Below are 16988 nucleotides of genomic sequence, written 5' to 3'. Positions count from 1 at the left end.
ACTGCACTCCAGCGTGGGGAAGAGAGTAAGACCCTGTCTAAAAAAAAAAAGAAAGCTGGGCATGGTGGCTCATGCCTGTAATCCCAGCACTTTGGGAGGCCGAGGCGGGCGGATCACGGGGTCAGGAGATCGAGACCATCTTGGCTAACACGGTGAAACCCCGTCTCTACTAAAAATACAAAAAATTAGCCGGGTGTGGTGGCGGGCGCCTGTAGTCCCAGCTAGTCGGGAGGCTGAGGCAGGAGAATGGTGTGAACCTGGGAGGTGGAGCTTGCAGTGAGCCAAGATTGTGCCACTGCACTGCAGCCTGGGCAACAGAGCGAGACTCCATCTCAAAAAAAAAAAAAAGAAAAGAAAAGAAAAGAAAAATAAATGTTGTCCTCCCAAAGTGCTGGAATTACTGGTGTGAGCCACCGACCGCTCCTGGCAGAAATGTTAAATTATTTAATCTCATAACCTCATCCGACATGAGGAAGATAGTCCAGGAGAGCGTCATGGTGGAAGAGGATTGAGTTAGGCAGAGGAAGAGAAGTCCCTTCTGGTAAAGGAGAATGCCTAGGCAAAGGCCCAGAGGTGAGCTGGAAATACTTCCAGGTAACTGAGGCAGAGGTGGAAAGGTGGGTGATAACAAGAAACGGGGTTTCTGAAACCCTCAGAATACTTAGAACCTGAAATAGAAATTTATTAGGGCCTATTAATGTTAGGATCTCCTTAGACCAGGCTGAGGAACCCCATAGGATTTTATTCTTGGAGAAGTGGGATGGGTCTCTGCCACTTTCCAGCTGTGTGACTTTGGCCCAGTGTTGTACCTTTATTTGAGTTATAGGGTATACAATTCCTTATTCACAACAATGAGCTGTAATTTTCTTTTCTTTTCTTTTTGAGACGGAGTCTTGCTCTGTTGCCAAGCTGGATTGCAGTGGCGCAGTCTCGGCTCACTGCAACCTCTGCTTCCCAAGTTCAGGTGATTCTCCTGCCTTAGCCTCCTGAGTAGCTGGGATTACAGGCATGAGCCACCGTGCCCGGCATACTGAGAACTTTCTAATCACATGATCACCCCTACAATCTATAGAGAGTGTTATTCTTATCCCCATTTCATAGATAGGAGACTGGAGATCAGAAAGATTGAAGTTTGGGTTGCACTGTATTCTTCTTTTATTTATTTATTTTTTTACTTTATTTATTTATTTTTGAGACAGAGTCTCGCTCTGTCGCCCAGGCTGGAGTGCAGTGGTGCAATCTCAGCTCACTGCAACCTCTGTCTCCTGCGTTCAAGTGATTCTGCTGCCTCAGCTTCTCAAGTAGCTGGGATTACTGGCACACACCACCACACCCGGCTGATTTTTGTATTTTTAATAGAGACGGGGTTTTGCTATGTTGGCCAGGTCGGTCTTGAACTTCTGACCTTAAGTGATCCACCCGCCTTGACCTCCCAAAGTGCTGGGATTACAGGTGTGAGCCACCGCACCTGGCCCAATTCTTTTCCTTTTTTTTTTTTTTTTGAAACGGAGTCTTGCTCTGTTGCCCAGGCTGGAGCACAGTGGCATGATCTCGGCTCACTGTAAGCTCTGCCTCCTGGGTTCACGCCATTCTCCTGCCTCAGCCTCCCAAGTAGCTGGGACTACAGGCGCCCGCCACCAAGGCTGGCTAATTTTTTTAAAAATTATTTTCAGTAAAGACAGGGTTTCACCGTATTAGCCGGGATGGTCTCAATCTCCTGACCTCGTGATCCACCCGCCTCGGCCTTCCAAAGGGCTGGGATTACAGGCATGAGCCACCGTGCCTGGCCTTTTTTTCTTTTTTTAATAAGACAGGGTCTGGCTCTGTTGCCCAGGCTGGAGTGCAGTGGCGTGATCCTAGCTTACTGCAGCCTCCAATTCCTGGGCTAAAGCAATCCTCCCACCTTGGCCTCCCAAAATGTTGGGACTGCAGGCCTGAGCCACCCGTCCAACCCATGATATTTCAATTTCAGTCTTGGGGTGGGCTGTTTCCTCACCTGGAGGCTTCTCCTCCATCAGTCTCTGTGTATCTCATTCCAACTCCTTCTTTTTTGAGGCAGAGTCTCCCTCTGTTGCCCAGGCTGAAGTGCAATGGCGAGATCTCGGCTCACTGCAACCTCCACCTGCCGGGTTCAAGCGATTCTCCTGCCTCAGCCTCCCGAGTAGCTGGGATTACCGGTGCCCATAGAGACAGGCTTTCACCATGTTGGCCAGGCTGGTCTCAAACTCCTGACCTCAAGTGATCCGCCGGCCTCGGCCTCCCAAAGTGCTGGGATTAGAGGCATGAGCCACCACGTCTGACCCCCAACTCCCATTTTTTGAGGCTTGTTTTAACTGTCACTTTGTGTATCTTCTTTGTGGATTGCACAGACCAAAGTACGCCACTATTAACTGGTGTCCACCAAAGTGGATCCCCAATCCCCAGGTCCCAATTGGGTGCATTGGGTGCATCCTCTTTTTTTTTTTTTTTTTTTTTTTTTGAGACGGAGTCTCGCTCTGTCGCCCAGGCTGGAGTGCAGTGGTGAGATCTCGGCTCACTGCAAGCTCCGCCTCGCGGGTTCACGCCATTCTCCTGCCTCAGCCTCCCGAGTAGCTGTGAGTACAGACGCCTGCCACCATGCCCGGCTAATTTTTTGTATTTTTAGTAGAGACGGGGTATCACCGTGTTAGCCAGGATGGTCTCGATCTCCTGACCTTGTGATCCGCCCGCTTCGGCCTCCCAAAGTGCTGGGATTACAGGCATGAGCCACCGCGCCCGGCCCAGGTGCATCCTCTTAAACAGCTCCTACCTAGGGTACGTGGTGATGGTGGCGGGGGGGTGCTTCAGGCACCAAAACAGGCCAGATCGTGGGGGCCTCCAATACCCAACATTGAATTGGGATTTTATCACGTAAGCTCTGGGGAGACAGAGAAGGTTGGAATTTTTTTTGTTTTGCTTGAGACAGGGTCTCTCTCTGTCGCCCAGGCTGGAATGCAGTGGCTTGATCACAGCTCACTGCAGCCTCGACCTCTTGGGTTCAAGCGATCCTCCCGCCTCTGCCTCCCAAGTAGCTGAGAGGCGCGCGCCACCACCCTCGGCTAATTTATTTTATTTTATTTTTTTTTTTTTTATAGAGACGAGGTTTTGCCATGTTGCCAGGCTGGTCTCCAACTTCTGGGATCAAGCAATCCTTCCGCTTGAGCCTCCAAAGTGCTGTGATTGCAGGCGTGAGCCACCGCGCCTAGTTTAGGTTGAGCAGCGAAAGGGATAGGGCCCAGTGCTTTCTCTGCGAGGTTCAGTTGGCCTGTCCCTGTCCTATCACCGTTTGTCACCGTTTGGGGAGCGCCACGGAATGCCCTGTCTCCAATCGAGAGGTGCACTCGTCGCCCTGGCAACGGAGTCCGGAAGAACCACAGAGACGCGGCTCCAGCGTACAGAGCGGCCGCCCTGGGCCAGCAAGGCACCGAGCGCTAGAGAGGCACGTCTAGTCGATTGTCACGTGGCAGGCCAGGGGAAGGCGGGACTTCCGGCGGCGAGGTAAATTTTTTTTTTTTTTTTTTTTTTTTTTTTAATTTTCTTCCGGTGGCTGGTCTCCGGCGGCCCCGTCCCCGACTGGGCCCCGTGCCCCCCCGCCCCCGCGGCCCCCCGCCGCCGGGCCAGCCGCCACCATGAAGAAATTCTTTCAGGAGTTCAAGGCCGACATCAAGTTCAAGAGCGCGGGACCCGGTCAGAAGCTCAAAGAGTCCGTGGGGTGCGTGAGGAACGCAGGGGCTTGAGGCCCTGCGGGGCGGGGACGGCCGGGGAGAGAGATCTGGGGCCTTGGGCGGCTCGGGAGATCGGAGAGGATGAGGGGCTGGGAGCGGCACGCGAGGGTCAGGGGAGGGGGAGAGGCGCCGGGGGCGGACGAAGTCGGGCCGAGGGTGGGCGTCAGGGGGAGGGGAGAGAGATCTGGGGGCGGGGCAGGAGGGGGCGGGTATGACCCGGGGGCGCGGCGGGGGAGGCGAGGGGAGGGGAACTAGCGCAGGGGGCGGGGCGGGAGGGGAGGTCTCGGGGGCGGGGCCGCAGGAGGGTCCGATGCAGTGGCGGGGGATTAGGGCGACGGGGCTGTAGGCAGTTGGGGGTCAGTGGAACGACCTTTGGGGAAAAACGGGATCATGAGTCCTGAGCCGGGTGGTGAGGGAGAGCTCTGTCTGGGGACCCGGCTGGCCGAAGAGGCCGGGATGATTTGGGGCAATCTAGGTGACCATGGATGGGAGCTGAGCTTGGAGGAGGACGCACAGCTGTGGGGTGGGGTGGTGAAGAGTTGTTTTGAGGTATCCATGGGAAGAGGGGTTCTGGATTTGGTATCTGGAGCACGTGGGAGGCTGATGGGAGACTAGAAAGAGTCTGGAAGGCCAGGGAGGCCGGGGTGGGCAGCGTCGTCAGTGACCTGGGATGTCCTGGCGAATTGAGAGGGAGGGGCTGAGGAAGGTGTGTGAGGAGAGTGGAGGTGAGGGATTCTGACAGATGGACTCTTACCCGGGAGGGGCCTGAGAGGAGAAGACGGGTGAGACAGACGCGTCTTAGCAGGCTGGGAGAAAGAGCTTCTCTGCGAGGCTTCTCTGCCACGTCACTGTGCCAAGTGGATTATGGAAGTGGGAGAGGAGGGGAAAGGAGATAGATGCCGGGCAGGCTTCCGGATTGTCTAGGGAGGACTTGGAGAGAAGGGCCTGAGCAGGGCTGAGCCAGCTGGGAGGGCCGGGGAAGAAGTGGAGCTAGGGAAGGTGCAAGGCTGAGGGCTGTTGGGTTGAGAAAAGGGAAACTGGAGAGCTGGGGCCGCTGCAGGGAGCTGGCTGGCCAGAGGGTGGTGGGGACTGATGGAGAGGGACTGAGGAAGTCAGCCAGGCAGCCAGGACACGGGTCTGTAAGCAATAGTGGAAGGGATTGTGAGGGAGTGGGGGCTGGGAGAGGCAGGGAGGTGGCAGGAAGTGGGGGTCAGGAATCACGGGGCAGTGGGGTGGTGATGGAGGTAGGGGCATAGTGAGGACGTCAGGGTTCCTGGGGGAGAGCAGGAGAGCAAAGGCTGAGTGAGGGAGGGAGAGGGGTCAGGGAGAGAAGGGGGCAAATCGGGGGAGCCCTTCATTGATTCAACCAATAGTGGGTGGGGGGTGCTGGGGCCACTGGGACTGGGCATGATAGGAAGGATGCAGGGTATCGGGGTGATGGCTGGATCAGCCCAGAGCCTGGGCGGAGAGGGGAAGGTTGGAGGGGAAGGTTGGGAAAGGAAGCGGTGCGGAGGTCCCTTGTGGAGCGAGACTGCATATCCAGGGTGTGTGGGGTGGGTGGGCACCAAGTCCTGTTTTAGGCTGCAGTGGTGGACAGGAGAAGGCCTCTGCTGTCCCAGGGCTCACCTTCTAGAGGGAGCCGATGGACAAATAAACCAACAGACCTTGGATGAGCGCTCAGGCGATGAGTGCTTGGATGAGTGCCCAGGGCCTCCAAGGAGGGTGAGCAGGGGCCGTCAGGTGGTTTGGGAAGGCCTCTCCCAGGACACAGTGAGACTCAGCTGTGGGGAAATCTGCCCCTCCTTCTCTCCCTGCGGCAGCTCTAGCCCTTTCCAGACCCCCATCCTCCTCCCACTCCCCCGGAGAACATTCTGGGCAGAAGGTGCAGACAGTGCAGGGGCCTGCAGTGGGGAGCAGCTGGGGTGTGGGAAGAACTGCGGGGAGCCCAGGGGAGACAGGCCACGGGAGGGCAGTGGGCCAGGCTGGGAAGGGCTCTCTGGCCAAGGGAAGCTTTAGGATTTTGCAGTGGGAGGGCGTTGTGCAGTGGAGTGATGCTGACGCTCCCTGGCTGAGGTTCCAGAAGGGTCCCTGTGGCTGCCCAGGGGGGCAGGGTCCATGGCTGGTTGGGGTGAGGTGCCCTGGGAAATGGCATTTTGTTGGAAAGACCCAGATATCGGATGAGGCCGGGGTGGGTCTTCATGAGTCATCTCCTCTTCCACCCAAGATGCTCAGCTGTGGGAGGACTAGATAGGCAGGGGTGGGACGAGGAGGGAGGGCTGCCCGGGTATGTAAGCAGAGCCAGAGGAGTATAGGGCTTGAACTGAGAGCCTGGCCTCCCAGAAGGTTTTAATAGACCTACGGCACAGAAATTGACACAGCCCGTAAGTTCATGGGAGGGGCCTGAGAGGAGACGGGTGAGACAGACGCGTCCGAGCAGGTTGGGAGAAAGGGCTTCTCTGCGAGGCTTCTCTGCCAGGTCACTGTGCCACGTGGGTTACGGAACTCTCCTTGGTGTAGGGCTCAACAGGGTGGAGCCACGAGTCCATGAGCTCTTCGTACTTGCACAGCCCTAGGCCTGGCATGGAGTGGCCAGGGCGAGGCTGGTTCTGCTGTCCGCTCTCCCCAGGGTCCCGCCACGAGGGTGGCGTGGCATGGGGCACATCGCCCGGACTTCCTGTCCCTCTTGGGTTTAGGAATGGGATGGTGAGGCCTCCCTGGCAGCTTGTTAGGAGGAGTAAACCAAGCGAGCCGACCAGCTCCCAGCAGGGTCCTGGCACACAGTAGGTGCTCAGCAAACGAAGCTGTGACCTGAGGGTGGAGAGTCTTATGGCAGGGAGGGAGGGAGGATGTGACACCCCTTGAGTCTCCTCAATTCCTGAGGATGCGGGCTGGGTGCTGTGGCTCATGCCTATAATCCCAGCAGTTTGGGAGGCCACGGTGGGAGGATCATTTGAGGCAAAAGTTCGAGACCAGCCTGAGCTACATAGCGAGACCCTGTCTCGATAGAAAAATTAGCCAGGCATGATGATGCTTGCCTCTAAGTCCCAGCGACTTGGGAGGCTGAGGCGGGAGGATTCCTTGAGCCTGGGAGCTCAGGATTGCAGTAAGCCATGATCGTGCCACTATACTCCAGCCTTGGTGAGAGAGCAAGACCCTGTCTCAAAAAGAAAAAAAGCACTGAGGATGTCAAGGTGCCTTCACCTCAGGAGGGGTGCTGTCACCCCATTTTACAGATGAGGACGCTGAGGGCCAGTGGGGGCAGGACTTGCCCGATGGTGCAGAGCTGAGTGGAACCAGCATCTCCTTCCTCCAGGGGCTCTTCCGCCTGCAGTAGAACCATCTGGTGGCTGCAGGTGGCCCCTGGGAACCAGGTGTCCTGGCCCACATAGGCAGGGACACGTCTGGCTGATGGTGCTGGGGAGGGGCAGAAGCTCCTCTGTGTGACTGCACGTCAGCTTTGCCGGCCACCTCGGGAGGATACACTCACTCTCCCTCGGTCTGTTCCCAGGGAAAAGGCCCACAAAGAGAAGCCCAACCAGCCAGCCCCCAGGCCGCCCCGCCAGGGACCCACCAATGAGGCACAGATGGCAGCCGCTGCCGCCCTAGCCCGGCTGGAGCAGAAGCAGTCCCGGGCCTGGGGCCCCACATCGCAGGACACCATCCGAAACCAGGGTGAGATATGGCCCTCCTCGGGCCCAGGTTGGGGCTGTTTGAGGTTCTCGGCCCTGGTGCCTGGCCCTGGATGCAGAAGTCACATGAGCAACCGTGGGGGTGTGAGGGTCACCCTTGGGAGCGGCTCATCAAGGGCAGGTGCTGGGGGAAGGGCAGCTTCCTGGGGAGGGGGTGGGAGCAGAGACTTGGAGCAGAAACGGGCTGCCCAGGCAGTGGGGTGCTTGCTCAGGCTGAGGGGTGGCTGCACAGCAAGTCCTGCAGGGGACCTCCAGCCTGACCTCCAGCAGAAGCAGGCTGGGGCGGTGTGCGTGGCCCCCAGGCCCACCCCGGGAATGAGGGGGCTTGGGCCAGGACAGCGGCGTGCTCACTATCCCGTCTCTGCCTCTCTTTCTTGGGCTGCCTTCCAGTGAGAAAGGAACTTCAAGCCGAAGCCACCGTCAGCGGGAGCCCCGAGGCCCCAGGGACCAACGTGGTAAGAACAGCCACTGGTGGCACTGTCCCATGCCAAGGGGTGGGGACAGCTTGACTGTGTCACGGGGGAGATGTGGCCTCTGCCCTTGGGGCTCAAGGGCTGTTGGAAAACCTTGCCTTGCAAGGTGGACACAGGTTGTGGTGGAACACGGTGTTGTCTGGGACCTTCGGGGCTCGGCAGCTGAGGATGCCGGCTCAGGCCTGGAGAAGTGGGCCTCAGGTACACGAGCCCATCGCTCCCTCCCCTTAACCCCTTAAGGGCAGATGCAGTTACAGTTTCCACTATTCAAAAAGAGAACCGGGGTTGAGAGAGGTGAAACCAGCTGTCCTCTCTCCTACACCCCAGGACCAGCAAAGGCAGGACCAGAGCCAGTCTGTGGTTTCAGAGCCTGTCCCCTAGCACTGCCCAGTCCTGCCTGCCTTGGAGGTCAAGAGGCTCTGTGGAGACGGGTGGAATCAGGGAGGCCTTCCTCTAGGAGGTGGGCCTTCAGAGCTCCGCTGAAAGGAGTTCTAAGCAGCTTGACCCTCGAGGATTCAGTGAATTTTAGCACGCAGGGACCTTAGAGATGGCCTAGAAATGGAGGCCCAGAAGTCATGCCTTGTCCAGCGCACTGTGCCCGCAGACACCCACACAGAGCTCCTTCCTCAACAGCTTGGGGACAGGACCAGCAGGAACCCAGCTGCCATCTGCTGGGTGTTTCCTGCGTGTCAGAAGCTGCTCCGTACTTTCCGTTCCTTACCTCGTTTAGTTCTGAGCAGGCCCCACAGGGACATTTGACATACCAGGGAAAAGACTCGGGGATCCGGTCACTTGGCCAGGGTGTCTCCCACGGCCACCAGGTGGAAGGGACAGCATGGGGGCTGGAGATGTCTGGTTCTACGGGCCACACTCAGGACTGTGGTGCTCGGCGAGGGTCGGGGTGGCCTCTGTCCACGGTCCAGACTTGGACGCTTTCACCGCCCCAGGTATCTGAGCCCAGAGAGGAAGGCTCTGCCCACCTGGCTGTGCCTGGCGTGTACTTCACCTGTCCGCTCACTGGGGCCACCCTGAGGAAGGACCAGCGGGACGCCTGCATCAAGGAGGCCATTCTCTTGGTGAGTGGCACCCTGTGTGCTCCTGCCCCAACCTGTAGCTTCCTGTGCCTGAGCCACCCTCCATCGGAAGCCCAGGTGGTACAGATCCCTCCCAGAGTCCCCAGAGGCCACTGCTAGTAGTGAAGCCCCTCCTCTGATACCCCAAATCCAGGCACACCATTGTGTATGCATCTGTATCTCCTCTCTCCCAACTAGGTGTCTTTTTTTTTTTTTTTGAGATGGAGTCTCACTCTGACACCCAGGCTGGAGTGCAGTGGCGCATTCTCGGCTCACTACAACCTCCGCCTCCTGGATTCAAACGATTCTCGTGCCTCAGCCTCTCAAGTAGCTGGGATTACAGGCACCTGCCACCATGCCTGGCTAATTTTTGTATTTTTAGTAGAGATGGGGTTTCACCATGTTGGCCAGGCTGGTCTCGAACTTTTGCCTCAAGTGATCAACCCGCCTCAGCCTCCCAAAGTGCTAGGATTACAGACGTGAGCCACCACGCGTGGCCTGGTTGTTTTTCATAAAAGGTTAAGTATTATTTGCTTCAATACAGAAAGAACTTCCTACAAAATTAGCCAGGCATGGTGGCACATGCCTGTAATCCCAGCTACTCGGGAGGCTGAGGCAAGAGAATTGCTTGAATCCAGGAGGCAGAGGTTGTGGTGAGCCGAGATAGCGCCATTGCACTCCAACCTGGGCAACAAGAGCAAAACTCCATCTCAAAAAATAAAAACGTCCACAGCATTTTTTTCCAATACAGCAAGTCCTCACTTAACACCATCAATAGGTTCTCAGAAACTTCGGCTTTAGCCTGGGCAACATGGCAAAACCCTGTCTCTGCCAAAAACAAAAAAAAATAGCTGGGCATGGTGGCGTGCACCTGCAGTCCCTGCTACTCAGAAGGCTGAGGTGGGAGGATTGCTTCAGCCTGGGAGGTAGAGGCTGCAGTGAGCTGTAATCATGCCACTGCACACCAGCCTGGGTGACAAGTGAGACCCTTTCTCAGAAAATAGTAAGTGGCTGGGCGCGGTGGCTCTTGCCTGTAATTCCAGTGCTTTGGGAGGCTGAGGCAGGTGGATCACCTGAGGTCAGAAGTTCCAAGACCAGCCTGGTCAACATAGTGAAACCCCCTATCTACTAAATATACAAAAATTAGCCAGGCGTGGTGACAGGCGCCTGTAATCCCAGCTACTCAGGAGACTGAGGCAGGAGAATCGCTTGAACCTGGGAGGTGGAGGTTGCAGTGAGCCCAGATCACGCCATTGAGCTCCAGCGTGGACACTGGGTGACAAGAGCGAAACTTCATCTTAAAAACAAAACAAAACAAAATAGTAATAGTTCCATAGACTCTCCAGACTCACACCCACTCCAGCAGTGTGTGCAAAAGCACCCGTGTCCCCATCCTCTCACCATACTGTAAATCACCAAACTTTGATCTTTACGCCTGTTGGTAGGTGAAAATAACATCTCAGGATAGAGTTAATTTGCACTTTCCTTATTTTGGATTGGCCATGTTTCATATGAGAATGCGTCCTTTCTACATTATTTAGTAGATAGTTTGTCTTTTTATTAGTGATTTGTAGGCACTCTTTTTTTTTTTTTTTTTTTTTTTTTTTTGAGACAGAGTCTCGCTCTGTCGCCCAGGCTGGAGTGCAGTGGCGCCATCTCTGCTCACTGCAAGCTCCGCCTACGAGGTTCACACCATTCTCCTGCCTCAGCCTCCCGAGTAGCTGGGACCACAGGCGAACCGCCACCACGCCCAGCTGATTCTTTGTATTTTTAGTAGAGACGGGGTTTCACCATGTTAGCCAGGATGGTCTCGATCTCCTGACCTCGTGATCCGCCCGCCTCGGCCTCCCAAAGTGCTGGGATTACAGGCGGGAGCCACCGTGCCCGGCAGCACTCTTTACATATTAGGCAATTTAGGCTTTTGCCTATGATATGAGTTGCACATGTTTCCCTCTAGTTGCTTCTATGTTGGCTCTGCTTATGGTCACTTTGCTGTGTAGGATTTTTTGATCTCTGTATAATTAAATGTGTCAGTTTTAGTTCATGGCTTTTGGGTTTGGGGTCATTCTTAGAAATGCCTTCCCCATTTCCATGCTGAGAGAATTCTTTTGTGGCCTCTCCAGTGCTTTTTTTTTTTTTTTTTTTGAGACAGAGTCTTGCTGTCACCAGGCTGGAGTGCAGTGGTGCAATCTCAGCTCACTGCAACCTCTGCTTCCCGGGTTCAAGCAATTCACCTGCCTCAGCCTCCCAAGTAGCTGGGACTACAGGTGCACGCCACCACACCCGGGCTAACTTTTGTATTTTAGAGATGAGGTTTCACCATGTTGGCCGGGATGGTCTCGCTCTCCTAATCTCGTGATCCGACCGCCTCGGCCTCCCAAAGTGCTGGGATTCCAGGCATGAGCCACCGTGCCCGGCCTCCAGAGCTTTTCTTCTGGCTTCTCCTTGACTGCTTGCTTGTTTCCATGGTTGAAGCTTTGATCCAGCTGGAGCATGTTATTATGTAACATGGTGGGATGGAGCTGATGTAATTTTTTTTTTAGATCTTGGCTCAGCTTTCTTCTCAGCCCCACCTGTCGAGAGCACCTGTCTTTTGCTTACAGCTGTGAAATCCCACCTTTCTCACAAAGTACATTCCTGTATGGATTTGGACCCCTTCCTGGCTGCTGTTCCTTCGTCCCTTGTCTGTGCATGTACCCAGCTCCTGACCTAAGCCTGGCAGCCAGTCGCCCAAAACGCCCGAGGCCCGCTTTTGGAGCTGACACGCTTCCCTTGGCTGGTGTGCTGTCCCGGGCGCTCTGATCCCAAGGAAGCTGTTGTCTTGGGGACATGCCCATCTGGCAGCTCTGCCTCTCTGCATCCACGTGCTCTGTCCCGCTCCCCACATCATCTCAGCAACTAAACCGGCAGACTGGGCCGGGTCCCAATTTTCAGTTGGCATGAGCCCCGGCTCAGTGTGTAGGTCATTGGTCCGTGTGACGCAGGGGGCTGCTGAGGGACCCTGCTGTGCAGTTGAGGGTGGGGGGTGGTGGGTGGAGCTCTGGGCTGCCTGGGCAGGTGGCCCGAATCCTGACACATGGCCCTGGGCTGCCCTTCTGTTCACCCGCCCTCGTCTGGGCAGCCCAGGGAGGTGCGGGTGGCAGCCCTGCTTCCCAGGCCATGGGTGGCTCTCTGGGTGTGGCCGTGTGTGATGGCTGTGCCGAGCGTGGATTTGTGCCCCAATCTTTTCCAGGTCTTAGGGTACGTACTGTTCTCAGCCTCTCCATGCTGGGACGCTGTTCGCAGTCAGCAGGGCTGGTTCTGGGAAACCCCCAGAGTTCCAGCTATGACTTCTCCCCTCCCCCGGTAACATAGGTGGATAGGTGGGACCTCGGGGAGGGGCAGGGGCTGGGGGTATCCGTCTTCCAGCTATTGAGTTTCAGACATTGAGGGTTGCAGACTCATTTGTGTCCTCTCTGCCACCTGCCATCCCTGTGACCCTGGACGATGGGCCTCTCGGTCTCTTTGTAAACATGAGGCCCGGGAGTGGTTCCAGAACGTCCATCATGGGGCTGCGAGAGCAGGAGGGATGGGGCGTCCATGGTGGCGGGAGGTTCTGTAAGTGGCGGTGGCCTTGATGGATCTCAGCACTGAGGTCGAGTTCTAAAGCCAGAGTGTGAGGCACAGTTCTGTCGCGTCACACTGGCTTCCAAGTCCCATGGATCTAGCCTTGAGAAGGCGGAAGGGGAGACTTGAGTTCTGCTGGGTCTTGGCTGCGTCGCCTCTGCCCTGGGGCGTGGGCAGGGCTGCGGTCTTGGAGGGTCTCTCTTTTCCTTTCTGTGATGAGCGCACAGCTGGGGCCGCTCCAAGCCGCTGTTCTGCCTTCCTTTTCCTGCCCCTGTTACCTGGGCAGCGGAGGGCCGTGCGGCCCGGGCTCTCAGTGAGTGGCTTTCCCTGCTTCCCTCCTCCCAGCACTTCTCCACCGACCCAGTGGCCGCCTCCATCATGAAGATCTACACGTTCAACAAAGACCAGGACCGGGTGAAGCTGGGTGTGGACACCATTGCCAAGTGAGCGTGTGGCCCCTTTGCCCTGCCTGGCCCCTCCAGCTCATCCCAGCACCCCTCCCACTGGGGCTGTCACCCCCTCTGGCCCCCTCATTACCTGCTGAGGTGGGTTGGGAAGGAGCATAGGCCGAGAGTGAGGCAGCTCCACCCAGAGGCCTCAGGCAAAGGGCTGGGCCTCCTTGGGCCTCAGTTTACCCGTGTGCAAAATGAAGGTGTTGAAGGAATCAGGGGTTTCCCACCCTGGCTTCCTTGGGGAACATGTGGAGGAGGCAGGGTCCCACCCCACTCCCCGGGTCTCAGGATCGGGGGCAGGCCTGGAGGTCCACGCTGCCCGCCAACGCCGAGGGAGCACCCCGCAGGAGCCCCCTGCTGGCACTGCGGCCCTTCAGCTCTGGCTCTCCACTCTTCCGGCACTGTGGCTTCCCCACCGCTGTGGTTAATTGTGCCCTTCCAGGGCTGGTGGGACGGTGAGGGGTTCCGTGGGGCTCCTGCTGGCACCAGGGGTGGGCTCCATGGGGTGTCCGAGGTGTGCCTTCCACCCGGAGATGGTCTGCTGCCCTCGCGTCACTGGGCCGCTTCTTCCCTCTGACTAGAGGCCAAGTGTGGCTGAGCTGCTGTTACCTGGAGCAGGAGGCACAGAGGGGCCGGGTGGGCAGCCTGGGCTGTGCCCCACTCACCTTCTCCACCTACCCCAGGTACCTGGACAACATCCACCTGCACCCCGAGGAGGAGAAGTACCGGAAGATCAAGCTGCAGAACAAGGTGTTTCAGGTGGGCGTGCCTTCTGGCCCCCGGGGCCCAGGCTGGGGGTGGGGGCAGCTGGCCTGCAGGAGCCGGTGGTGGCCCACACCAGGCGGTGGGCTCCCTGGAGGAGCTAGCGAGAGTTGAGCCACAAGCAGTGAAGGGTTCGGCCAGTAGAAGGTAGCAGGACAAGATGGAGAGCAAGACTTTTATGCACCGGTCACCCCAAATCAACAAATTCTGCCTCTCCTCACCTGCATCCTTTTCCTCCTCTTCAGCTGGGCTTGTTTGGGAACATGTCGACTCTGGGGAGGTTTCTCATGCAAACCAGATGTCTGGTTCTTCTGGGGGAAAGGGCAGGGACTGGGGTCCTGGGCGGTGTTAGCCTCGCATCAGGCCCCAGCAGTGTCTGGCTCCTCAGCCTCACTCTTCGTGCCTGGTTGTGACTCTTTCCTCTGTGCAGAGCTGTTGGAGACTCCACAGCCCCCACCGTAGAAAAGCAGGTTTGCATCCAGCACTGAGGCACCCCCAGGGCTGGGCCCCATCCAGGGGTCGACAGCTGCTCCCAATAGCGAGAGCCGGGCCCCTGGACTGGGTGGGGTGTGGCCAGGCCATGGAGGAAGCCAGGGGCCCCCAGTGACGCCCATCTCCACCCCCAGGAGCGCATTAACTGCCTGGAAGGGACCCACGAGTTTTTTGAGGCCATTGGGTTCCAGAAGGTGTTGCTTCCCGCCCAGGATCAGGGTAAGTGGACAGGGCCTGGCTGAGTAGGGAATGGGGACGAGGGGCCTCGGGGCAGGAGGGCCCGGCTTGGGGGTCTCTCCATTGCACAGTGACACCCATGTCCTGCCACGCTGTAGAGGACCCCGAGGAGTTCTACGTGCTGAGCGAGACCACCTTGGCCCAGCCCCAGAGCCTGGAGAGGCACAAGGAACAGCTGCTGGCTGCGGAGCCCGTGCGCGCCAAGCTGGACAGGCAGCGCCGCGTCTTCCAGCCCTCGCCCCTGGCCTCGCAGTTCGAACTGCCTGGGGACTTCTTCAACCTCACAGCAGAGGAGATCAAGCGGGAGCAGAGGCTCAGGTGGGCCTGACGTCCGCGGAGCAGAGTGGGGCGGGGCGGGGTGGAAGAACCCCGGCCAGCCCTCGTGACCTGGCCCGCGTGTGCAGGTCCGAGGCGGTGGAGCGGCTGAGCGTGCTGCGGACCAAGGCCATGCGGGAGAAGGAGGAGCAGCGGGGGCTGCGCAAGTACAACTACACGCTGCTGCGCGTGCGCCTCCCCGATGGCTGCCTCCTGCAGGGTGGGCACCAACGATGCCCGTGGAGGGCGGCTCGGGTTGGTAGGGGGCCCTGGGCCCCACCCGCTCTGACTCCCCCACTCCCCAGGCACTTTCTACGCTCGGGAGCGGCTGGGGGCGGTGTACGGGTTCGTCCGGGAGGCCCTGCAGAGCGACTGGCTGCCTTTTGAGCTGCTGGCCTCGGGAGGGCAGAAGCTGTCCGAGGACGAGAACCTGGCCTTGAACGAGTGCGGGCTGGTGAGTGTCGGCCCGCAGGAGCACCGCTGACCCGATGCCTCTGCAGGTTCTCCTGGGACCGGCACAGACACCCCCAGGAGGGAGCCTCCTTGTTCTCAGAGCAGGGGGCCTGGGCAGGTCCCTGGGTTTGAATCCTGCTTTCCCACTTACTGGCAGCAGGGCCTCGAGCAAGTTCATAACTACTCCACGCCTCAGTTTCCCCATCAAATGGGAGCGGTGACGTGCGTTAGCTAGTGCAGTAGGTTTAGGCTTAGGTCCTGGAGTCCCGGAGGGAGAGGGCAGGAGGCCTGGGTGCGAGCCACAGCCTCCACCAGCTGAGATGGCTTCCAGGCCGGGGCATCCCCGCGCCCAGGTTGCCCGCTGAGTTCCCTGCCGCGGCAAGGGCCGACTCTCGGTCTCAGAGTGACGGCCTACCCCTACCGCAGGTGCCCTCTGCCCTCCTGACCTTCTCGTGGGACATGGCTGTGCTGGAGGACATCAAGGCCGCGGGGGCCGAGCCGGACTCCATCCTGAAACCCGAGCTCCTGTCAGCCATCGAGAAGCTCTTGTGAAATAAAAGCAGGGTTGGCCTCAGCCCTGTGGGTCTGTCTCATGCTCTCCCTGTTCCTCTCCCCGCCACCCCAGGGCCTCCAAGCCACCTCTGGAAATACTTGGCTCTGCCCCATGGGCACGGGAGGGGCGCCAGCCGTGGAGCTGTGGAATTGGGCCCCGTGGCAGAGCCCCCATCCCTTGGGGGCTGTGGGGATGCGCCCAAGCCCCCGAGGGAGAGGCCTGGGGACACCAACAAATCTAAGCCCTCCCTAGCTGCTTGGTAACTGTGTCATGAAGCTGCCGGACAGACACACGTGGCATCTCCCTGGGCAGGAGAGCAGGCCTGCAGCATGGGTCCTGTTCCCGTGTGCCGTGGGTGGCAGTGGCTGCACCTGGCACTAGGGCTGCTCTGTGGATGTGGGTGACAACGGCAGGAGGGGATGCTGGCCTTCCTGCACATAGACCTGCAGTTAGTAAATCATAAGCCCAAATAAACAGGTTGTTTGAATATAGTTTCTTGGTTCTCCGTTGAAACCGTGGGACACAGGGCAGGCCCACCTGCTGAAGAGCGGATGGCTTGGGGGCTGGGTGTGGCTCCCTGTCAAGGTGGGACCATGTGGATACCTGTTCTCAGGCCAGCACCTGGCCACAAGTGCCCGATGAGCCACCCACCTGGGGAGGAAGTCCCGTGCGCTAGGGGAGGCTGTGCTGTGCCCACAAAGGCCCAGTCCCTGCAGGGGAGGCGAGTGCTGTCACAGGCCTGGCTTCCCTGTGGCCAGAGGGACAGGGTGTCCTGAGACGGCCACATCCTATTCCTGGAACCTGCAGATGCGCAACTTCACCTGGCAAGAGGGGCTTGGGTATGATGAAAGGTCTTGAGCTGGGAGATGATCCTGGGTGGTCCGGGACCCAGTGTCCTCACAAGAGGTGGCAGGAGGGTGAATCAGAGAGAGACTGGAAGAGGCTGCGCATGGCTGTGAAGGTGGAGGAAGGGACCCCGAGCTGAGGGATGCAGCGCCTCCGAGCACTGGGAAACTCTCCAGGAGGGCCTGGTCCTGCCCACAGCTTGATGTTAGCCTGGCGGGGCATGTGTGCACTCTGACCCCCAAGCTGTGAGATGGTGACTTGCTTTAAGCCACCAGGTTTGTGGTACAGCAGCCC

The 16988-nt window shown here is 58.2% G+C and overlaps 2 protein-coding genes and 1 non-coding gene across 9 annotated transcripts in view, besides 5 other annotated features; 1 reads left to right on the top strand and 2 right to left on the bottom strand.

Annotated features, from left to right (window-relative positions):
- Positions 3290 to 3489: an enhancer, noted in NCBI's record as "active region_13774". NCBI's record gives its function as "activates an Ori minimal core promoter by ATAC-STARR-seq in GM12878 lymphoblastoid cells {active_cell/tissue: GM12878}" and the evidence as "EXISTENCE:reporter gene assay evidence [ECO:0000049][PMID:35858748]".
- UBXN6 (UBX domain protein 6) lies at positions 3466 to 16339 on the top strand. 4 transcript variants are annotated; one of them, XM_017027325.2, is made up of 11 exons: positions 3466 to 3516; positions 7252 to 7415; positions 7823 to 7887; positions 8853 to 8981; positions 12930 to 13027; positions 13720 to 13795; positions 14425 to 14509; positions 14626 to 14845; positions 14932 to 15062; positions 15148 to 15296; positions 15722 to 16339. In XM_017027325.2, exons 2-11 carry the CDS (start codon positions 7328 to 7330, stop codon positions 15845 to 15847), a joined length of 1167 nt encoding a protein of 388 aa, XP_016882814.2. In that variant the 5' UTR covers positions 3466 to 3516; positions 7252 to 7327; the 3' UTR covers positions 15848 to 16339. The 4 variants fall into 4 exon arrangements, with proteins under 4 accessions (XP_016882814.2, XP_047295426.1, NP_079517.1 ...); NM_025241.3 differs by lacking the exon at positions 3466 to 3516 and adding an exon at positions 3551 to 3730; NM_001171091.2 differs by lacking the exon at positions 3466 to 3516 and adding an exon at positions 6044 to 6124.
- Positions 3600 to 3649: a silencer, noted in NCBI's record as "silent region_9891". NCBI's record gives its function as "represses an Ori minimal core promoter by ATAC-STARR-seq in GM12878 lymphoblastoid cells {active_cell/tissue: GM12878}" and the evidence as "EXISTENCE:reporter gene assay evidence [ECO:0000049][PMID:35858748]".
- Positions 3680 to 3749: a silencer, noted in NCBI's record as "silent region_9890". NCBI's record gives its function as "represses an Ori minimal core promoter by ATAC-STARR-seq in GM12878 lymphoblastoid cells {active_cell/tissue: GM12878}" and the evidence as "EXISTENCE:reporter gene assay evidence [ECO:0000049][PMID:35858748]".
- Positions 7316 to 8015: an enhancer, noted in NCBI's record as "H3K4me1 hESC enhancer chr19:4453327-4454026 (GRCh37/hg19 assembly coordinates)". NCBI's record gives its function as "activates a minimal SCP1, AML or CMV promoter by ChIP-STARR-seq in naive H9 embryonic stem cells {active_cell/tissue: H9 hESC(naive)}" and the evidence as "EXISTENCE:reporter gene assay evidence [ECO:0000049][PMID:30033119]".
- Positions 10515 to 16988, bottom strand: part of CHAF1A (chromatin assembly factor 1 subunit A) — a 48191-nt gene continuing 41717 nt past the window's right edge. For 2 of the 4 annotated variants that reach the window (XR_007066505.1, XR_007066507.1), the window contains 2 exons: positions 14020 to 16801; positions 10515 to 13645 (listed from right to left, as the gene is read on the bottom strand). Coding sequence is in view for 1 of the 4 variants with exons in the window: in XM_011527605.3 (XP_011525907.1) it covers positions 14158 to 14240 (83 nt within the window). In the remaining 3 variants the exon portion in view is untranslated. Of the gene's footprint in view, positions 16802 to 16988 lie in introns of all 4 variants that reach the window. The other 2 variants (XR_936135.3, XM_011527605.3) reach the window with 2 other exon arrangements.
- Positions 15297 to 15367, bottom strand: MIR4746 (microRNA 4746). The gene has a single exon (NR_039901.1). It is a non-coding gene; the product is annotated as a microRNA 4746 (primary transcript).
- Positions 16801 to 16969: a silencer, noted in NCBI's record as "fragment chr19:4444373-4444541 (GRCh37/hg19 assembly coordinates)". NCBI's record gives its function as "represses an EF-1alpha promoter that drives an FKBP-Casp9 reporter gene in an ReSE screen in K562 erythroleukemia cells {active_cell/tissue: K562}" and the evidence as "EXISTENCE:reporter gene assay evidence [ECO:0000049][PMID:32094911]".

Source organism: Homo sapiens, chromosome 19 (genome assembly GCF_000001405.40).
Source record: "Homo sapiens chromosome 19, GRCh38.p14 Primary Assembly".
NCBI lineage: Eukaryota > Metazoa > Chordata > Mammalia > Primates > Hominidae > Homo > Homo sapiens.
The sequence above is the reverse complement of the archived record's forward strand: the minus strand, read 5'-3'. Positions and strand labels throughout refer to the sequence as shown.